General features: G+C 41.4%; 1 pseudogene; it reads left to right on the top strand.

Moving 5' to 3' along the window:
* Positions 1-12,101: 12,101 nt before the first annotated feature.
* LOC124900381 (uncharacterized) lies at positions 12,102-12,212 on the top strand (annotated as a pseudogene).
* The last annotated feature ends 7,457 nt before the right edge of the window (positions 12,213-19,669 follow it).

Raw genomic sequence — 19,669 nt, 5'->3', positions numbered from 1 at the left:
AGTCCACTGTTGATGGACACCTAGGTTGATTCCAAGTGTTTGGTATTATGAGTAGTGGTACAGCAACACTATTTTGATTGTTCCCGGGGCGAATGACCTGCAGATCACTGAAATACCTCTCACATGTATACCAAGGGTTTTAAAATATAATTTATTTACAGTAAAACACAATCTGTCAGGAAGATCAGCTAGATTTGACAAATTTCACCTATCTGTAATAACCCACATGCCTAGAAAGATTATAAAATGCTCACTCTCATAGAGACGGCCCCTCATTTACCTTCCTAGTCAATCCCCACCACCTGTAATCCCATACTCCAAAGACTCCATTGACCTAATTTCCATCAGTGTTAGGTTTTGGCTGCTTTCAAATTTTAATATAAATGAAATCATAGAGAATGTACTCCTTAGTGTCTGCCTTCCTTAATATTAAGAATCATACTTGGTACAAAAACAACTTTGTATGTTTAATTTTTTAGTAGAGACTATGTCTTCTATGTAACTAAGGTTGGTCTTGAACTCCTGACCTCAAGCCATCCCCCCACCTTGGCTTCCAAATTGTTGGGAATACAGGCATGAGCCACTGTGCCCAGTCCTTGTGTCTTTTTATTGCCGAGTATTCCATTGTAGGTAGAATTCCATTATAGTCAACCATTGTTGATGGGCTGTTTTAAATTTTGTATTTTGAATAAAACTATGCACATCGTGGGCCGAATGTTTGTGTCCTTCCAACTCATGTGTTGAAGCCCTGATTCAGTGTGATGGAGGTGAGGATTTTGGGAGGAGATGAGGTTTACATGAGATGTTGAAGAGTGGTGCCCTCATGATAGGATTAATGACTTTCTAAAAAGAGACAGGTCTCTCTGGTCTGTCTGACCTTCCTTCCCCAGAAATACTACGCAAATATCTTGGAGAGGCCTTGTAGACATGACCGTAAGAAGCTTGAAAGCTGTCTAAAGCACTGTCAGGACAGTTATCAGGATGGGTTTGCTGAGGATCTTGAGCCAGAGGCATAAAAAACTGGAACCATCTCCTAACCATTACAACTACAAGTTTCCTGGAAGTTAGAGGTTACCTGTTTCATGAGTCAAATGCTTACTCCCCATCACCCACAATCCCATACTCCAAAGACACCATTGACCTGATGAGAACTGTTCCAGGAGTCAAATGGTACCTAAAGGACGTGTGCTGCTCTATTGTTCCTTCTCTTGTTCTTGCCCTGGAAATTCCAGCCCTGCTCTGTCTGAAAAAAAGATCTGGTTCAGGTGGTCCCCAAAGCACATCAGCTAAATCAAGACTTTGACTCCTGTTTGAGACACTTAGACTATTTTCTTTAGAATAGCTCAAAGTTAAATTGAACAATGTGTAGAGGTTTATTATGTAAGCATAGTAAAGCAGGGTGCATGGGTAAAAAGACTTGGAACATCAGGAAATTAGGTTATTTGGTACAGGTGACTCCTGAGATGCATGAGAGAAGATAAGCAGGAAAAGAATAGGGTCAGATTATTGAAGGTATGTGTACCATTTTGAAACTAATTATAGGTACTTAACTGTAGAATGAATATTTCTAAGACTAGGACTGGAAGATGTCATCCAGAAAAACTTAGGTTTTCTAAATGAACATATTTATGCTAATCTCGAGGCCCTGTGTGGTGCGCTGGTTCATGCCTGTAATCCCAGCACTTTGGGAGGCCGAGGTGGGCAGATCACCTGAGATCAGGAGTTCAAGACCAGACTGACCAACATGGCGAAACCCCCATCTCTGTTAAAAATACAAAATTAGTCGGGCATGGTGGTGTATGCCTGTAATCCCATCTACTTGGCAGGCTGAGGCAGAAGAATCACTCGAAGGGAGGCAGAAGTTGCAGTGAGCCAAGATGTCACCATTGCACTCCAGCCTGGGCAACAAGAGTTAAACTCCATTTCAAAAAAAACAAAAAACAAAAAAAAATCTTATTTACTTTCATATTTCTTTTGATTCTTTATAGTTAAAGTAGATTTGAAAACAATATCAAGTGTGATGGTTAATATTGAGTGTCAACTTGATTGGATTGAAGGATGCAAAGTGTTGATCCTGGGTGTGTCTGTGAGGGTGTTGCCAAAGGAAATTAACATTTGAGTCAGTGGACTGGGAGAGACGTAGACCCATCCTCAATTTGGGTGGGCACCATCTAATCAGCTGCCACTGTGGCTAGGATGAAAGGCAGAAGAACATGAAAGGACTGGACTTGGTGAGTCTTCTAGCCTTTGTTTTTCTGTTGTGCTGGATGCTTCCTGTCGTCAAACATTGGACTCCAGGTTCTTCAGCTTTTGGACTCTTGGACTTATAACAGTGATTTGCTAGGGGCTCTCAGGCCTTTGGCCACAGACTGAAGGCTGCATTGTCAGCTTCCCTACTTCTGAGGTTTTGGGACTCACACTGATCCACCACTGGCTTCCTTGCTCCTCAACTTGCACATGGCCTGTTGTGGGACTTTACCATGTGAATGTGAGCCAATTCTCCTTAATAAACTCCCTTTCATATACACATGTATTCTATTAGTTCTGTCCCTCTAGAGAAATCTAATACATTAAGAAATTGGAAACAGAACCAAATATGTGGTTTGTTTGATTTCTAGAATATGGTAATTGATTTGACTTTAAAAGTTTCAGAAATTGAGGTTGAGCTTCAGCCTGAGTATATCCACTGCACATGAGATTCTTTCTCCTATTGCACAATACACACACGTTTGGGTTTTATTTGTGCCTCAGAAAAGAACAGAATATCTTTGAGCAATTTGGGAGAGTTTATAAAATTTGTGCTGCTCATTCTAAATTCTGGCCCAGTGTCTTAGAGTTTCATAGACATCTGAGAAATGATGTGAGCTGTCCAAAGACTACTTACCCCTTCTAATAACAATGGCTAAAGGGCTCAACATAGTTTGTGTCAAGCACAACATAATTTTCTTTATGGTGAGTCTTGCTTCTCTAAATAACCTTAGGAGGGTAGGTATCATTACTATCCCCTCTTTGCAGATATGGAAACTGCATCTTGTTGGCAGATCAGATATGGTGAGGTTACACATAGGAACTGAGTAGCAAGTTCTGTTTGACTTGGTTTTCAGCTAAGCAGAAAAGCTCAGTGATACATTTTCTGAGTTTTAAGTGTTCAACGGGAGACGTGAAAGCAACACACAAGGCATGCGTAACTCAAGTTTTGTGGTGTTTTTCTGTCCCTACACCCACTGACCCAGCCCACACTATGTTTTGGATACTCTGATCCTCAAGCAGAGACATGGATTTGATTACACTGGTTCTAAAATGTCTCAGGCTTTCAATGAAGTCTTTCATTTTTTCCAGCAACAATTTTCAGCAATAGTGTAACTTTTTTCCCTCGATTTTTTTTTTCTATTACATGTGGAAATTTGTCTATAGAAAAACATTGTCCCAGTGGAGAGTCGTAACAGGGAACCAGAAAAAAAACCAATGAGCTAGATAACTCAAAACTCTTCAACCTGGCTTTCCTTTCTGAAGTCAGGAATGCCAAGCTGTCTCCTTTCTGTTGGAGATATTCCCCCCACCCTGAATTTATCAGGCTGTGGAAAAATACCTGGAGCAAAAATAATCATGACAGCAATAACAATAGATTTTATTGCACCCTAGGTGGGTGTGAAGCATAGTGGTAAGAACTTTATTTATTGTACCATTTAATTCTCTCCGTAGCCTGTGGGGTTTCATAGTCTTATTCATCCCATTTTATCATAGGAAGAAACAGGTTTCTAAATGGGAAGTGCATCCCCAGGGTCATCCAGAAATGTGGGGAAGGGGCCGGGATTTGACACTTGGTCAGTGGGCCTGAAAAGCAAGTGCCTTGAATTCAGGTAAGATTACAGATCCAGTTGATGTGGTTTGGATTTGTGTCCCTGCCCATATCTCATGTCAAATTGTAACCCCCAATGTTGGGGGAGGTGACTGGCTCATGAGGGCAGACTTTCTCCTTGCTATTATTATTATTATTTTCAGACAGGGTCTCACTCTGTTGCCCAGGCTGGAGTGCAGTGGTGCAATCTTGGCTAACAGCAACCTTCAACTCCAGGTTTAAGCGATTCTCCTACCTCAGCCTCCTGAGTAGCTGGGATTAGAGGTGCCCATCACCATGCCTCTTAGTAGAGATGGGGCTTCGCCGTGTTGTCCAGGCTTGTCTGGAACTCCTGACCTCATGTGATCCATCCACCTTGGCCTCCCAAAGTGCAGGGATTTAGAGGTGTGAGCCATCTTTCCCAGCTGTTCCCCCTTGCTATTCTTGTGATAGTAAGTTCTCATGAGATCTGGTTTTTAAAAAGTGTGTAGCATGTTCTCCATTTCTCTTTCTCCTGCTCCTACCATGGAGGACATGCCTACTTCCTGTTTGCCTTCTGCTATGATAGTAAGTTTCCTCCACAGCCATGCTCCCTGTACAGCCTGTGGAACCATGAGTCAATTAAACATCTCAATTACCCAGTCTCAGGTTCTTTATAGCAGTGTGAGAACCAACTAATATACCAGTTATCAACCACGAGGTATTATGAAAATAGGCATTTATAGGAAATAGGTGAAAGCTTCCTATTCACACATTTGCATAGTGTTCTAGTCCTTATTTCAAGAGTCTACTTTTTCATCCATCAATGGCCATGCCAGTTTAGGCACAGTTTGGGGACAGCGAATTCCCATTGTGGGGTCTCCACCAGTGCAAACGGATACACACAAGGAACTGTACTGTCTATCCTGAAATAGAAGGAGCAAATGGAAAGAGAAGCTTAAATTGGAGATAAACTTGTCTTTTCTTGGTGTGGCTATCCTGCCAGATCTTTCTGCAGCACCTGGGCCTGCTTCTGTCACAGGGTATGAAACTGCCAAGTGGGGCCTTGTTGAGAACAGTAATTTTTTCCACCTGCTTATGATGGCACTTAGGCATGACTTGTTGAAGCACTTTCAATATGGCAGAGCACAGTGACAGTATACATCTTAAAGTAGCCAATGGATATGTAAACCTAGATTGAAACTGACCACTGGCCTCACTCCTATGGGAATGGGGAACCTCAGTGAGAGTGTCTGAGGCAGGTCTGTCTCCTGCATCCTTCAGCAGCTAAATGGTGCTTTTTAGCCTGTAAATAGGGCTATACTACTTAATTCTCACCACAATCTAACAAGTTGTTGTTTTCCACATCTTATTACAGAAGGAAACTTAGGTTGATGACTTTTCTAGAGTCATCCAGGGAGGTACTAGAAAAAGCCAGGATTTACTATCTAATGGATCAGACTCCAAAATATCTGCCCTGAACCTGTATGTATGCTTGTTGGGTCCCCATTGAACTTGGCATATGTTGTTCTAGCAGATCTTAATAAAGATGAGTACATCGGTGAATACATTATTTATATGTTTTTATTTTCAGATGGAGTGAACAATTAGTCTAAGATACCATACTTAGTAAGGCACTCTGTGAAATTTTTAGGAAGCAGTATGTTTTTACATGAATGAAGGTGGTGTAATAATCGGAATCTATAAAATGCCCCCGGGGTATTCTGGGAAAGCACATACCATTCTTATGAACACTTTTCTGAGTTGGATAAGGTTCAGAATAGGGGCATGTATTGAATCCACACTGTAGAACTTTTGAAAGATTAAATCAGATGTATACAGTACATGGGAACATCCCGTGCTTACCTGCCATCTGTCAGTGTTAACATCTATATGTTAACAGATGTGATTTTTGCATTATTAGTAGATCTTTGAAGTTTTAGGGATAGTGGTAGGATGAAAAGCATCCCCAACAGAAATGTGAGCAAATACATTTAAGTTACAGTGGATGGAGGAGGGGGGTGTGTGTAAATTAACCAAATGGTTTGATGGTTTGAGTGCCTCTGTATGAACACTAGAGTTCATACAAGAGGATTTCAGTATCTCATCGATTCTTTTCACAACTCCATGAATTATCCCCATTTTCTGATAAGAAAACTGAAGGAAGTTGCACATTTGTAGCTACATAGCTAATATTTGCAGAATTGGGATTCAAAGACTAGTCATTATGACTTCATCTCATGTGTTTGTAGACTTATGATATTTCATTATTTAAAACTCACACTACACTGACTTACTGATGTATAATTGACATAAAGTGCACCCAAAGAATGCAACTCAATGAGTTCTTACCTGTGTTCACTCCACTGAAACTACTGCCAAATCAAGATAGAGAACATATCCTGTACCCCGAGGGTTTCCTGGTGCCCCTCCCTTGATTTCCCACCACTCGGACTCTGGCCCAAGGTCATCACTGCTGTTCTCTGTCTCCATAGTCAGTCTTTTGCATCCTGGTGGCTCTTCTCCCATCCGATTTTATTAATACATCTTATTTTTTCCAATGCATGTGTGAAAGGCTAGTAAACAACATCCCAACGTTTAGCTAAATATCCTCCTGGGCCTATGAGTGGCCCCGAGGTGTGAGTCTTCTTTTGAACACCCTCACTCCACATTTCTCTGCAGGGCGCTTTCTCCTCTTGATGGTCTCTAAATCCCCAAGAGTAAAAAAACCGCAGGCTTACATGGCAGAGGAAAGAGTTAGCAAAATCAAGAGCTGATCCTCCTGAAGGGAAGGGAAACATAGCTGTTTGGTGGATGTGTTCCTGGAACCCACGTGATGTACAGTACACAGTTGGATGCTAATAACTTAGCTCTCTGCTTACAAAAGGATTAAAAGAACACACACATGATGTGTCACTCCTTCCCCACAGTACCATCTCCCCTTATTTCGGAGTATGATTTCTCCAAAAGGGAAGCTGTCTTGGTTGTAGTGAATTTAAACCGTTAGGCACTGGATTAGGCCCTGATTTAAAGTTCTAGCTTTAATATTAAAAAGATGAGTGTTACTTTTATATCCCAGAGAAGCAGTGAGTAAACAAATAAAAAATTCATTAGAGACAGGCTGCTATTGCTGAGATGAAAGTTTGATGTTAGAGCTAGGCTTTCAAAAGCCTAAGACCCAGTCAGTGGGTCATTAGCTCAGCAGGCGGCCAAACTAAAGAGTGATTTCGAGATGGGCAATGTCTGTGGTCTTCGTTTCTTCAAGGTTTCAAAAATTAACTTAGCATTTTCCCAGATTCCGGGGCGGGGGCGGGGAATACTTAACGGTTACCGTCCTGGTTATGTTGAAAATTAAATTTCAACTATGCTTCCGAATCTTATGGTGCTTCTTCTCCAACTTTACCAGCTAATGACGTTGCCACTAAGCATAGAAATTGAGAAGTTTGAGGGCATGAAGTATTGCAGTTCACTCAGTTCACAGCTGGGAAATAGTTTTCATTTTGTAAATACCATCAAGCCCCAGAGCTGAAATTCAAGGTCATGGACTACAGCATGCATACACCTGTAGTTCTTATCTACTTAAGTATTTTCATTTTCTTTTTGGCAATGCAACGTATTTCATGGCACACCATCTCCTGTGTGAAAAGGACAGAAACCTTGTTAATGACACTGCTCCAAGCCTGGCCAATCAGAGCACTCTACTCCTAGCAGGCACATTGATTGGTCTAAGGAGGACCAACCAGAATCCTTCTTCAGCATATGCTAAATCTTTGCTATACATGGTTCCAGCGTGGAAGAAAAAGCCATCTATTTAGCTAGGTTTTCTAAGTTGAAGCAATATAGGCTGGAGGCTGCCAGATGGCAACTACCCCAGCAAATAGAGGCAGCCAATTTGAAGAAGGAAAAAAAGAAAAAGGACTAAACAAAGTGAAACAGAGCCCAGAGATGAGAAAAGAGCTCTGACGATGTTGCATATTTGTGGAATCAGGCGTGTCTGAACTCGGGACCCAATAAATCTCCAACACATTTGTTGCTGTTGAGCCAATTTGAGTTACAGGTCTGTTTCTGCAACTGAATGAATCCAAACGAATATAATACGAAAAGTCTTTCCTCTGATTAGTCTGAGCATAGGGTAAATAGTGGATGATTTGCCCACAGTGATCAATATGTATTTTTCAGCACTTGAACTTCTGCAACTCTTGTTCTCTTGCAGACTAGAAAGTACCTGTTATCAGACTGGGGTCATAGGATAGTAGAATGAGTACAGAGTTTGGACTAATCCGTGTCATTGAAAATGACAAAATTTCTCTTTAAGGCTGAATAGTATTCCACTGTGTATAAATGACATTTAAATCCTATTAACTTACAAGTGGGCACTTAGGTTATATCCACATCTTGACTATTATGAATAATGCTGTAATGAGCATGGGAGTGCAGATATCTCTTTAACATTTAATCTCAATTCCTGTGTGTGTGTGTGTGTGTATGTATATATGTATGTATATATATGTATAGATAAATGTATATATGTATAGACATATGTATAGATGTATATTTGTATATGTATGTGTATATATGTATATATGTATGTGTGTATATATATATGTGTGTGTGTGTATATATATATATATATATACACACACACACACACACACATCTCCATCCAGAAGTGTGATTACTAGATCATATGGTGATATGGTTTGGCTCTGTCCCCACCTACATCTCACCTTGAAATGTAATAATCCCCACATGTCATGGGAGGGACCCGGTTGGGGGTAATTCATTTATGGGGACGGGTGTTTCCTGAGCTGTTCCCATGAACAAGTCTCACTAGATCTGATGGTTTTATAAAGGGGAGCTCCCGTGTAGAAACTCTTGCCTGCCACCATATAAGATGTCCCTTGCTCTTCTGCCATGATTGTGAGGCCTCCCCAGCCATGTGGAACTGTGAGTCAATTAAACCTTTCCTTCATCGGTTACCTTGTCTTGGATAGTTCTCTATTAGCAGCGTGAAGATGAACTAATGCATATGGTAACCCTATTTTTAGTTTGAGAAACCTCTATACTGTTTTCCAAAATGGCTGTGTTAATATAGATTCCCACCAACAGTATACAAAGGTTCTTTTCTCTACATCCTCGCCAACACCTGTTATCTTTTGTCTTCTTGATGATAGCCATTCTAACAGCTATGAGGTGATATCTCATTGTGGTTTTAATTTGTATTTGCCTGATTAACAATAGTGAGTATTTTAAAAATCTGGTTTTTACATGTCTTTTGAGAATATCTAGGTTCTTTGCCTATTTTTAAATATTTGTGTTCTTTTTTTTTTAATTATACTTTAAGTTTTAGGGTACATGTGCACATTGTGCAGGTTAGTTACATATGTATACATGTCCCATGCTGGTGCGCTGCACCCACTAACTCGTCATCTAGCATTAGGTATATCTCCCAATGCTATCCCTCCCCCTTCCCCCCACCCCACAACAGTCCCCAGAGTGTGATATTCCCCTTCCTGTGTCCATGTGATCTCATTGTTCAATTCCCACCTATGAGTGAGAATATGCGGTGTTTGGTTTTTTGTTCTTGGGATAGTTTACTGAGTATGATGATTTCCAATTTCATCCATGTCCCTGCAAAGGACATGAACTCATCATTTTTTATGGCTGCATAGTATTCCATGGTGTATATGTGCCACGTTTTCTTAATCCAGTCTATCATTGTTGGACATTTGGGTTGGTTCCAAGTCTTTGCTATTGTGCATAATGCCGCAATAAACATACGTGTGCATGTGTCTTTATAGCAGCATGATTTATAGTCCTTTGGGTATATACCCAGTAATGGGATGGCTGGGTCAAATGGTATTTCCAGTTCTAGATCCCTGAGGAATCGCCACACTGACTTCCACAATGGTTGAACTAGTTTACAGTCCCACCAACAGTGTAAAAGTGTTCCTATTTCTCCACATCCTCTCCAGCACCTGTTGTTTCCTGACTTTTTAATGATTGCCATTCTAACTGGTGTGAGATGGTATCTCATTGTGGTTTTGATTTGCATTTCTCTGATGGGCAGTGATGACGAGCATTTTTTCATGTGTTTTTTGGCTGCATAAATGTCTTCTTTTGAGAAGTGTCTGTTTATGTCCTTCGCCCACTTTTTGATGGGGTTGTTTGTTTTTTTCTTGTAAATTTGTTTGAGTTCATTGTAGATTCTGGATATTAGCCCTTTGTCAGATGAGTAGGTTGCAAAAATTTTCTCCCATTCTGTAGGTTGCCTGTTCACTCTGATGGTAGTTTCTTTTGCTGTGCAGAAGCTCTTTAGTTTAATTAGATCCCATTTGTCAATTTTGTCTTTTGTTGCCATTGCTTTTGGTGTTTTAGACATGAAGTCCTTGCCCATGCCTGTGTCCTGAATGGTAATGCCTAGGTTTTCTTCTAGGGTTTTTGTGATTTTAGGTCAAACATTTAAGTCTTTAATCCATCTTGAATTGATTTTTGTATAAGGTGTAAGGAAGGGATCCAGTTTGAGCTTTCTACATATGGCTAGCCAGTTTTCCCAGCACCATTTATTAAATGGGGAATCCTTTCCCCATTGCTTGTTTTTCTCAGGTTTGTCAAAGATCAGATAGTTGTAGATATGCGGCATTATTTCTGAGGGCTCTGTTCTGTTCCATTGATCTATATCTCTGTTTTGGTACCAGTACCATGCTGTTTTGGTTACTGTAGCCTTGTAGTATAGTTTGAAGTCAGGTAGTGTGATGCCTCCAGCTTTGTTCTTTTGGCTTAGGATTGACTTGGCAATGAGGGCTCTTTTTTGGTTCCATATGAACTTTAAAGTGGTTTTTTCCAATTCTGTGAAGAAAGTCATTGGTAGCTTTATGGGGATGGCATTGAATGTGTAAATTACCTTGGGCATTTTCACGATATTGATTCTTCCTACCCATGAGCATGGAATGTTCTTCCATTTGTTTGTATCCTCTTTTATTTCGTTGAGCAGTGGTTTGTAGTTCTCCTTGAAGAGGTCCTTCACATCCCTTGTAAGTTGGATTCCTAGGTATTCTCTTTGAAGCAATTGTGAATGGGAGTTCACTCATGATTTGGCTCTCTGTTTGTCTGTTATTGGTGTATAAGAATGCTTGTGATTTTTGTACTTTGATTTTGTATCCTGAGACTTTGCTGAAGTTGCTTATCAGCATCATTCTGATACCAAAGCCAGGCAGAGACACAACAAAAAAAGAGAATTTTAGACCAATATCCTTGATGAACATTGATGCAAAAATTCTCAATAAAATACTGGCAAAACGAATCCAGCAGCACATCAAAAAACTTATCCACCATGATCAAGTGGGCTTCATCCCTGGGATGCAAGGCTTGTTCAGTATACGCAAATCAATAAATCTAATCCAGCATATAAACAGAGCCAAAGACAAAAACCACGTGATTATCTCAATAGATGCAGAAAAAGCCTTTGACAAAATTCAACAACCCTTCATGCTAAAAACTCTCAATAAATTAGGTATTGATGGGACGTATTTCAAAATAATAAGAGCTATCTATGACAAACCCACAGCCAATATCATACTGAATGGGCAAAAACTGGAAGGATTCCCTTTGAAAACTGGCACAAGACAGGGATGCCCTCTCTCACCACTCCTATTCAACATAGTGTTGGAAGTTCTGGCCAAGGCAATTAGGCAGGAGAAGGAAATAAAGGGTATTCAATTAGGAAAAGAGGAAGTCAAATTGTCCCTGTTTGCAGACGACATGATTGTTTATCTAGAAAACCCCATTGTCTCAGCCCAAAATCTCCTTAAGCTGATAAATATTTGTGTTCTTATTGAGTGGTTTGTGTTTATTGTATATTTTGGATATGATCTCCTTAGTTGATGTATGATTTGCAAATATTTTCTCCCTATTTATGGATTGTCTCTTTATTCTGATCTTAAGTGAAATAAGTGGGGCATAGAAATGAGAATATTGCATGCTCCCACCAGAGGCTGGGGATATGAGTGGGTGGGGCCAAGGGAAATGGTCAAAAGGTACAACAGTTCAGTTTCTTACAGGAGGACGAAGTTCTGACCTTTTTCACATCAAGGTGACTTTAGTTAATAATGTATTATATCTTAATTGTTAAAAGAATGGATTTTTAAATATTCTTACCAAAAATAAGCATGTGAGGCAATGGATGTGTTAGCCTAACTTGCTCATTCTGCAATGTATACATGTATCAGTGTATCACATCGTATCCCATAAATATATCCAATTATGTCATTTAAAAATAAAATTCAGCACTTGTATGTTTTAACATGTGGACATTTATAGACAGGTTCAAAAAGTCCTCTTGCAACCCAGAACTCGTTGTTCAGTATGAGTCTTGATACGTGTAAGAAGGGATTTGGGAGGCCGGATTATGAGGTTAGGAGTTTGAGACCAGCCTGACCAATATGGTGAAACCCCATCTTTACTAAAAATACAAAAATTAGCTGGGCGTGGTGGCATGCGCCTGCAATCCCAGCTACTCAGGAGGCTGAGGCAGGAAAATCACTTGAACCCAGGAGGTGGAGGTTGTTGTGAGCTGAGATCATAACACTGCACTCCAGCCTGGGTGATAGAGTGAGACTCCGTCTCAAAAAAGGATACTATACCTATATCTGAGACAGTTAACTGATGGGAGAATTGATAACCGTAAAGGTTGGTTCCAGGCTGGGAACGTTAGCCCATGCTGGAATCCCCGCACTTTGGGGGCTGAGTTGGGAGGTTTGCTTGAAGCCAGGAGTTAAAGACCAGCCTGGGCAAGGATAGCAACATCCCATCTCTACAGAAATTTAAAAATTGGCTGGGTGTGGGGGCATGCACCTATAGTTGTAGCTACTCCGGAAGGAGAAGGCTGAGGCAGAAGGATTGAGTCCAGAAGTTGGAGGCTGCAGTGAGCTCTGATGGCACTGCTGTACCTCCATCCTGAGCGACAGAGTAAGACCCTGTCTTTCAATTTAAAGTTGGTTCTAGGGTTGTAGAATAGATTAAAAGCTTTGGGATATGGGGGAATCTGCGCTATATTAATTTTGTATTCCAATTTCATGTTGACTTTGCTATATCAAGATTGCTTTTTGTTTTAAGGGCTTCTCTGTTGAGAACATGTCTGGAGTTAAAGGTATTGGTATATTCCACAGATGTTTACTACTGAGCATGATAGCTTAGGAATGAATATGACTTGAACTCATTCATGTTTGGAGAGGTATTCAAATTAAGAACTGGATAGAACCACCTACTCTAAAAATGACCATAGAGTAAATTGGTTTAAGAAATTAGATCCCAAAGATCCTTGGTAAATTTTGAAGTCTTCATCAGTATATCCATATCAAAAGGGGATGACAGAAGCCAAAATAAATGAACTGTGGGCTAACAGGACAACTGAATTAAGCATCAGTCATATTAAAAAGGGCGAACTTGCCAGAGCTTGGTAGCTCTTCTTGGTGGCTAGGCCCAGAAGAAGATTAAGAATCCCTACAATTTGGCTTTTAGGAAGCCACATCCCTAGAAGGGGGAGAAAACCACATCAAGGGATCACCCCATGGGACAGAAGAATCTGAACAGCAGCCCTTGAGCCCCAGATCTTTACTTTCTTAGTCCACCCCGATGAGAAGGAACCAGAAAAACAATTCTGGTAATACGACAAAGCGAGGTTCTTTAACATCCCCAAAATCTCACACTAGCTCCCCAGCAATAGATCCAAATCAAGAAGAAATCTCTGAATTGCCAGAAAAAGAATTCAGAAGGTCAATCATTGAGCTACTCAAGGAGGCACCAGAGAAAGGTGAAGTCCAACTTAAATTTTGAAAAATATAGGATTAAAAGGACTAACATCAAGATAAATCTTTCGAAGATAAAATTGACTTCAGCTCTTTAGAGGAACTAAGGTGACCTTGGTGGATGGTGGAAGGAATCACGACATCCAAATCCTTTAAATAAAAATTAGAGTATAGTCTTTGGAATCCTTCAGACTGGGTTCAAACCCTGGATTTTTTAGCTAACAACTTGGGGAGACTGTATTAGTCTGTTCTCATGCTGCTGATAAAGCTTTCAGTGTCAGGTATGTCTATAATGGACTCAGTTCCATTTAAGAAAAAGCTTTAATGGACTCAGTTCCACATGGTGGGGAGGCCTCACAATCATGGCAGATGGTGAAAGGCATGTCTTACCTGGAGGCAGGCAAGAGGCAACTTGGGCAGGGAAAAACTACCCTTTATAAAACCATCAGCTTTCATGAGATGTATTCATCACAGGAACAGTACAGGAAAGATCTACTCCCATGATTCAACTACCTCCTACCAGGTCCCCCGATGACATGTGGGAATTGTGGGAGCTATGATTCCAGATGAGATTTGGGTGGGGACACAGCCGAACCATAACAGCATTGCTTTCCCTTCTTGAGCTTTGGCTTTCTCATATATAACATGAGGATGGAATAGTAAGAGTCGAGCTTCCTAGGCCCACTCTGATCAAATTAAATCAATTAAATCCTTATGGGTGAAATTCAGGCAGGGATATTTTGTGAAAGCATTTCACATGATTCTAATATGTGGCCAGGTTTGAGAACCTCTTGAGTAGATGAGATCTAAAGCATTCGATCTCAAATTTTAGGCTGCATGCCATGCAAATCACCTAGGCTTGAACACTAGCAACCCTAATTGCCAGGGTCAGAAAAGGGACTCAGAGATATGCCTTGTGAACAGGCTCTCCAGGTGCTTCTGATGCAGGCAACCCATGGACCACATTTAGAGGGGAGGAAATAATGGCTTCAGCTCTTTCATCTTTGATGTACTAAGAATCTGCTGGGGGAAGGTATTGAGTGGGCTGTATTGATTAGAAAGGGAAACTTCATTTAAGCAGCAGAAAAAGGGTTAGTTTTCAGAAATAGAAGTAAGTGAAAATGTATAGTTCAGCAGGACATTGTCCAGACAAACATAAGGAGGAAGGGAATGGTAAAATGTGCTGCTTGGGACTTCTTTGATGAGGATGCCAAGAGCACGGTGTCTGGTTGTAGATCTGAGGTCCCATGGAAGTCTCAACTGCTTATGATTAATTCCTGTTTCCTCTAGTGGTGTCCACTCCCCATGAAAATTATAAGACAAGCTTTATAAGACAGGATGTTGGTTCTGAGAATAGGTTATGAAATCCATGGCTTCCACCTTGTGGGCACTCTCTGGCTCTTTTTACTTGCTGAAGGAAGCTGGCATTACTTCATAAAGCAAGCTTGCATGTTGTGAGCTGCCCTACGGATAGACCTTCACGGCTGGGAACTGAGGAATGAAAGTCCCTGGCTACAGTCAGCAAAAAACTCAGTCCGCCAGTTCAGTCTGCAAGAACTTGAATCCCGCTAATAGCTTTGCAAGTTAGCTGGAAAATGTATCCTTCTCCAGCCAACACTTTACATGATAATGGCCCCCACCAACACTGATTGCAGCCTCTTGCAAAACCCTAAGCCAACCTGGGCCTCTGGCCCACAGAACCTATAAACGTTTTTTTTGTTTTTTTTTTTTCTTTTTTTTGAGACAGGGTCTCTGTCACTGAAGCTGGAATGCAGTGAGTGATCTTGGCTCACTGTAGCATCACCCTTGACTTCCTGGAGTCAGGTGTTTCTCCTGCCTCAGTCTTCTGAGTAGTAGCTGGGACTACAGGAGTGCACCATGGTGTTCAGCTAATTTTTAAATTTTTTGTAGAGACATGGTCTCCTGATGTTACCCAGCCTGGTCTTGAACTCCTAGTCTCAAATGATCCTCTTGCCTTGGCCTTCAAAATCTTACAGGCATGAGCCACTGTTCCCAGCTATTTTAAGCTTTTAAATTTGGAGGTAACATGTTATGCGACAATAAAGAACTTACGCAAAGACTTACATTTATTTTGGGTTTAATGATCTGGTAGCTCACTAGCAAAGTCCTGGGAAAGCTATACAGTGACAGTTCCTTGTGTCTTGGGGGAAACTTCCAAGGCTTTGCTTTTCAGACCAAGCCTCTAATCTGGCTCCCCCAGTTTCTAGTAGCTGTGCAGCATTCTCTCACTTCTGAGACCTGGTTTTCCTATCCAGAAAATAGAGATGGCCTTGTCTCCCTTCAAAGTTGGGAATTGGAGATGAAGTGGTTCTTATCACAAAGACAGTAGTGCTTTTTACTTTGACATAAACAAGCAGGTTTACAAGGCATGGTCGGCAGGATTTCTGCACCCTAGTGAACAAGCTCTGCGTCATCTCCTCTTGAGTATGGGAGGAGTCTGTGGCTAGGATGCGATAGCACTCCCTTGGTAGCAGTAATAGGTGACTTATCAGTTGACAGAGTTAATCTGAAGGGAGATAACCCTGGGTGAGCCTGAACTAGTTAGAAGAAACTTTAAAAGAATGCGAAGAAATTCAAAAAGGCACACCTCTGCTCACCTGGAAGAAGGTGCAAATATCCACATAGTAAACTTTCTATGGGGCTGCCTTGAAAGGAACGGCTGGTGGCTTTTACGGGCTAAGAGAACTCACCAGCTAACAATTAGCAAGGAAGTGGGGACCTTAATCTTACCTCCATGAGGAACTAAACTTTGCTGACAACCTTGATGAGTTTGGAAGATGACTTCAAGCCTCAGATGAGAATCACAGCCATAGTCAGCACTTAAGTTGTAGCTGGGGAGATCCTGAGCACAGGGCCCATCTCTAACCCATACCTAGACTTCTGAGCCCTGGAAATTGTGAGATCTCAAATGTGTGCTTTAAGTTACTAAGCATGCCTACTTTATTTTACAGCAATAGACATTAATACTCAAGGTTAGAATGGTCGCCTAATGGTATGTCAGGCACATTTGTAATGTTTCACTCTATGACTGTTACCGGAAAGGGGTCCAGATCCAGACCCCAAGGGGAGGGTTCTTGGATCTTGCACAAGAAAGGATTCATGGCGAGTCCGCAGGGTAAAGTGAAAGCAAATTTATTTAAGGAAGTAAGGGAATAAACGATGGCTACAGCATAGAACAGCGGCATGGGTTGCTTAGTTGAGTATACTTAGTTATTTCTTGATTATATGCTAAACAAGTATATTATTCATGAGTTTTCCTGGAAAGATGCAGGCAATTCCCGGAACCCAGGGTTTCTCTCTTTAGACTACAATAGGGTAACTTCTGGACATTTGCCATGGCATTTGTAAACTGTCATGGTACTGGTGGGAGTGTCTTTTAGCATGCTAATGTATTATAATTAGCATATAATGAACAGTGAGGGGGACTAGAGGTCACTTTCATCACTATTTTGGTTTTGGTGGGTTTTGGCTGGCTTCCTGTTTTATCAACAGTGTCTTTATGATCTATATCCTGTGATCCCAATCCTGTGGACCTCCCATCTCATCCTGTGATAAAAGTGCCTAACCTCCTAGGAATCCAGCCCAGCAGGTCTCCACCTTATTTGACCCCGCCCCTATTCAAGATGGAGTCGCTGTTTCAAAGCCTCTGACACATTTCAAATGTCTCTGACTATACTTATACTATTTTAGTAACCCTAGTGCTCAGCACTCTGGGGAATGATGGAGCATTGTTGATGAGCAAAGAAATGTGTAAAAGAATGAACAAAGAGGTAGGGTTCCTACCTCTTGGGTATTACAGCTGAAGAGAGAATAGTGCTGCTAAAATGGCTGCTCCTAAATCACGCTCCTTGATACACCCTATGAATTCAGTCTGTCTCGTTTGGGACTTAGGATTTGCCGACTTGGCTAATAGAATCCCTAAAAGACAAGCTTCTAGTATGTGCTGGGTTATTTCCCAAGAACCTGAGCATCAGTGACAACCAGAAGTAAAGTAAATGAATGGCTGGCATTTTAAGAGTATAGCTGCCGGTGAAGAGGAGCCAATGTTTGCACTTCTGAGAAGTATGGGGGCAGAAGCAGAACTTTTACTTAGACTGATCACAGTGGTAAATCAGATGCCAGCATCACCCATGGTATCAGCCTGAATGATTGCGGTCTCACTCCTGAGGCTTATGCTAAAGTGAGACTAGAAATAAGGTGGCTGAGGGCTGGGTGCAGTGGCTCACACCTGTAATCCCGGCACTTTGTGAGGCCGAGGTGGGTGGATCACTTGAGATCAGGAGTTTGAGACCAGCCTGGACAACATGGTGAAACCCCATCTCTACTAAAAATACAAAAATTAGCCAATATGGTGAAATCCCGTCTCTATGAAAAATAGAAAAAAATTAGCCAGGTGTGGTGGCAAGTACCTGTAGCTGTAGTTCGAGCTACTCAGGAGGCCGAGGCAGGAGAATCGCTTGAACCCAGGAGGCGGAGGTTGGAGTGAGCCAAGATCATGCCATTGCACTCCAGCCTGGTCAACAGAGAGACTCCTCCTCATAAAAGGTGGCCAAAGAGCATTCTTCAGTGATCTGTAGCTGCGTTATCCAATGTGGGCACCTCAAGCTGAGCTAGATACAGCTTTTTAAAAGAAATTTTATTTTTGGAGTTGTCTTGCTCTGTCGTCAAGGCTGGAGTGCAGTGGTACTATCAGCTCAATGAAGTCTGGAACTCCTGGGCTCAAGCAATCCTTCCACCTCAGCCCTTTGACATAGCTAGGATCATCAGCACTACCATGCCTGGCTGATTGTCTTCTGTAGCAACGGGGATCTCACGATGTTGCCCAGGCTCATATCACATCCCTGCCTTGGCCTCCCAAAGTGTTGAGATTACAGGCAGGAGCTACTGTGCCTGGCCAGATGTGGCTTTTGAGCACTGGAGATATGGCTGGTTCAAACTGAAATGTGCTGTGTGAAATTTATGCCAAGTACCAAGACTTAGTATGAAGATGTAAAATATCTCCTTATTTCTCTATTCATGACATGTTGAAATGATACTATTTTTAATATTGTGAGTTAAGTAAAAGACTAGTTTAACCTATTTTTACTTCTGTGGCTTGTCTGCTAGACAACTTAAAATTATATACGCATCTTGCCTTATATTTCTGGTAGGCAGTGCCAGTTTAAAGCATGAGAAAATCTATACCAGAGAAGGCAAGGCCAAGAAAACTGAAAGAAGCAAAATCAAATTTGGGCTAAAAAATTAAAATGTGACAAGTCTATATGATTACTAGATAAGTAAATCATATTAAACTTGGGCTAAATTAAAATGTGACAAGTCTGTATGATTACTAGAGAAGTAAATCATGAGTACTTTTACACATTCAAGTCTGTAATATTAATCAGAATGGGAAGAGTTGTCCAGTTTTTTCTCCTTAACCCTTCCCTTCTATTTCCCTCCCATTACCTCCTTCCCTCTCCTCCTTTAGTTTCCTCTGCCTTTTTTTGAGACAGGGTCTTGCCCTGTCATCCAGGCTCAAGTGCATTGGTGTGATCTTGGCTCACTGCAACCTCTGCCTCCTGGGCTCAAGTGATCCTCCCAGCTCAGCCTCCCAAGTAGCTGGGACTACAGGCATATGCTACCATGCCTGAGTAATTTTTTTGGTATTTTTTTGTGGAGGGTTCTCACCATGTTGCCTAGGCTAGTCTCAAACTCCTGGGCTCAAGTGATCCATGGGCCTTGGCCTCTCAGAGTGTTGAGATTACAGGTGTGAGCCACCATGCCTGGGCTATACTTTGTGCTTTGTAGACAGGATAGCTTTGAGCGACTATACTGTTAAAAAATGACATCTTCGGACCTTCTGATTCTTAGCCAATGAGATTAAAATATCTCTATGTAATAAACCTACCTCCAGACCCAGGATCTATCAGTGTAACACCTTGTTGAGTTCCTGGCTGGTTGGCAGTAAGGGAGTAGGCATTCTAGGAGAATGGCAGAGTTGTTGTCCTCTCTTAGGCAGTCATTACTTGGTTTAGATGCCTGCTAC

This window comes from Homo sapiens, chromosome 16, assembly GCF_000001405.40.
Source record: "Homo sapiens chromosome 16, GRCh38.p14 Primary Assembly".
Lineage (NCBI taxonomy): Eukaryota > Metazoa > Chordata > Mammalia > Primates > Hominidae > Homo > Homo sapiens.
The sequence above is the reverse complement of the archived record's forward strand: the minus strand, read 5'-3'. Positions and strand labels throughout refer to the sequence as shown.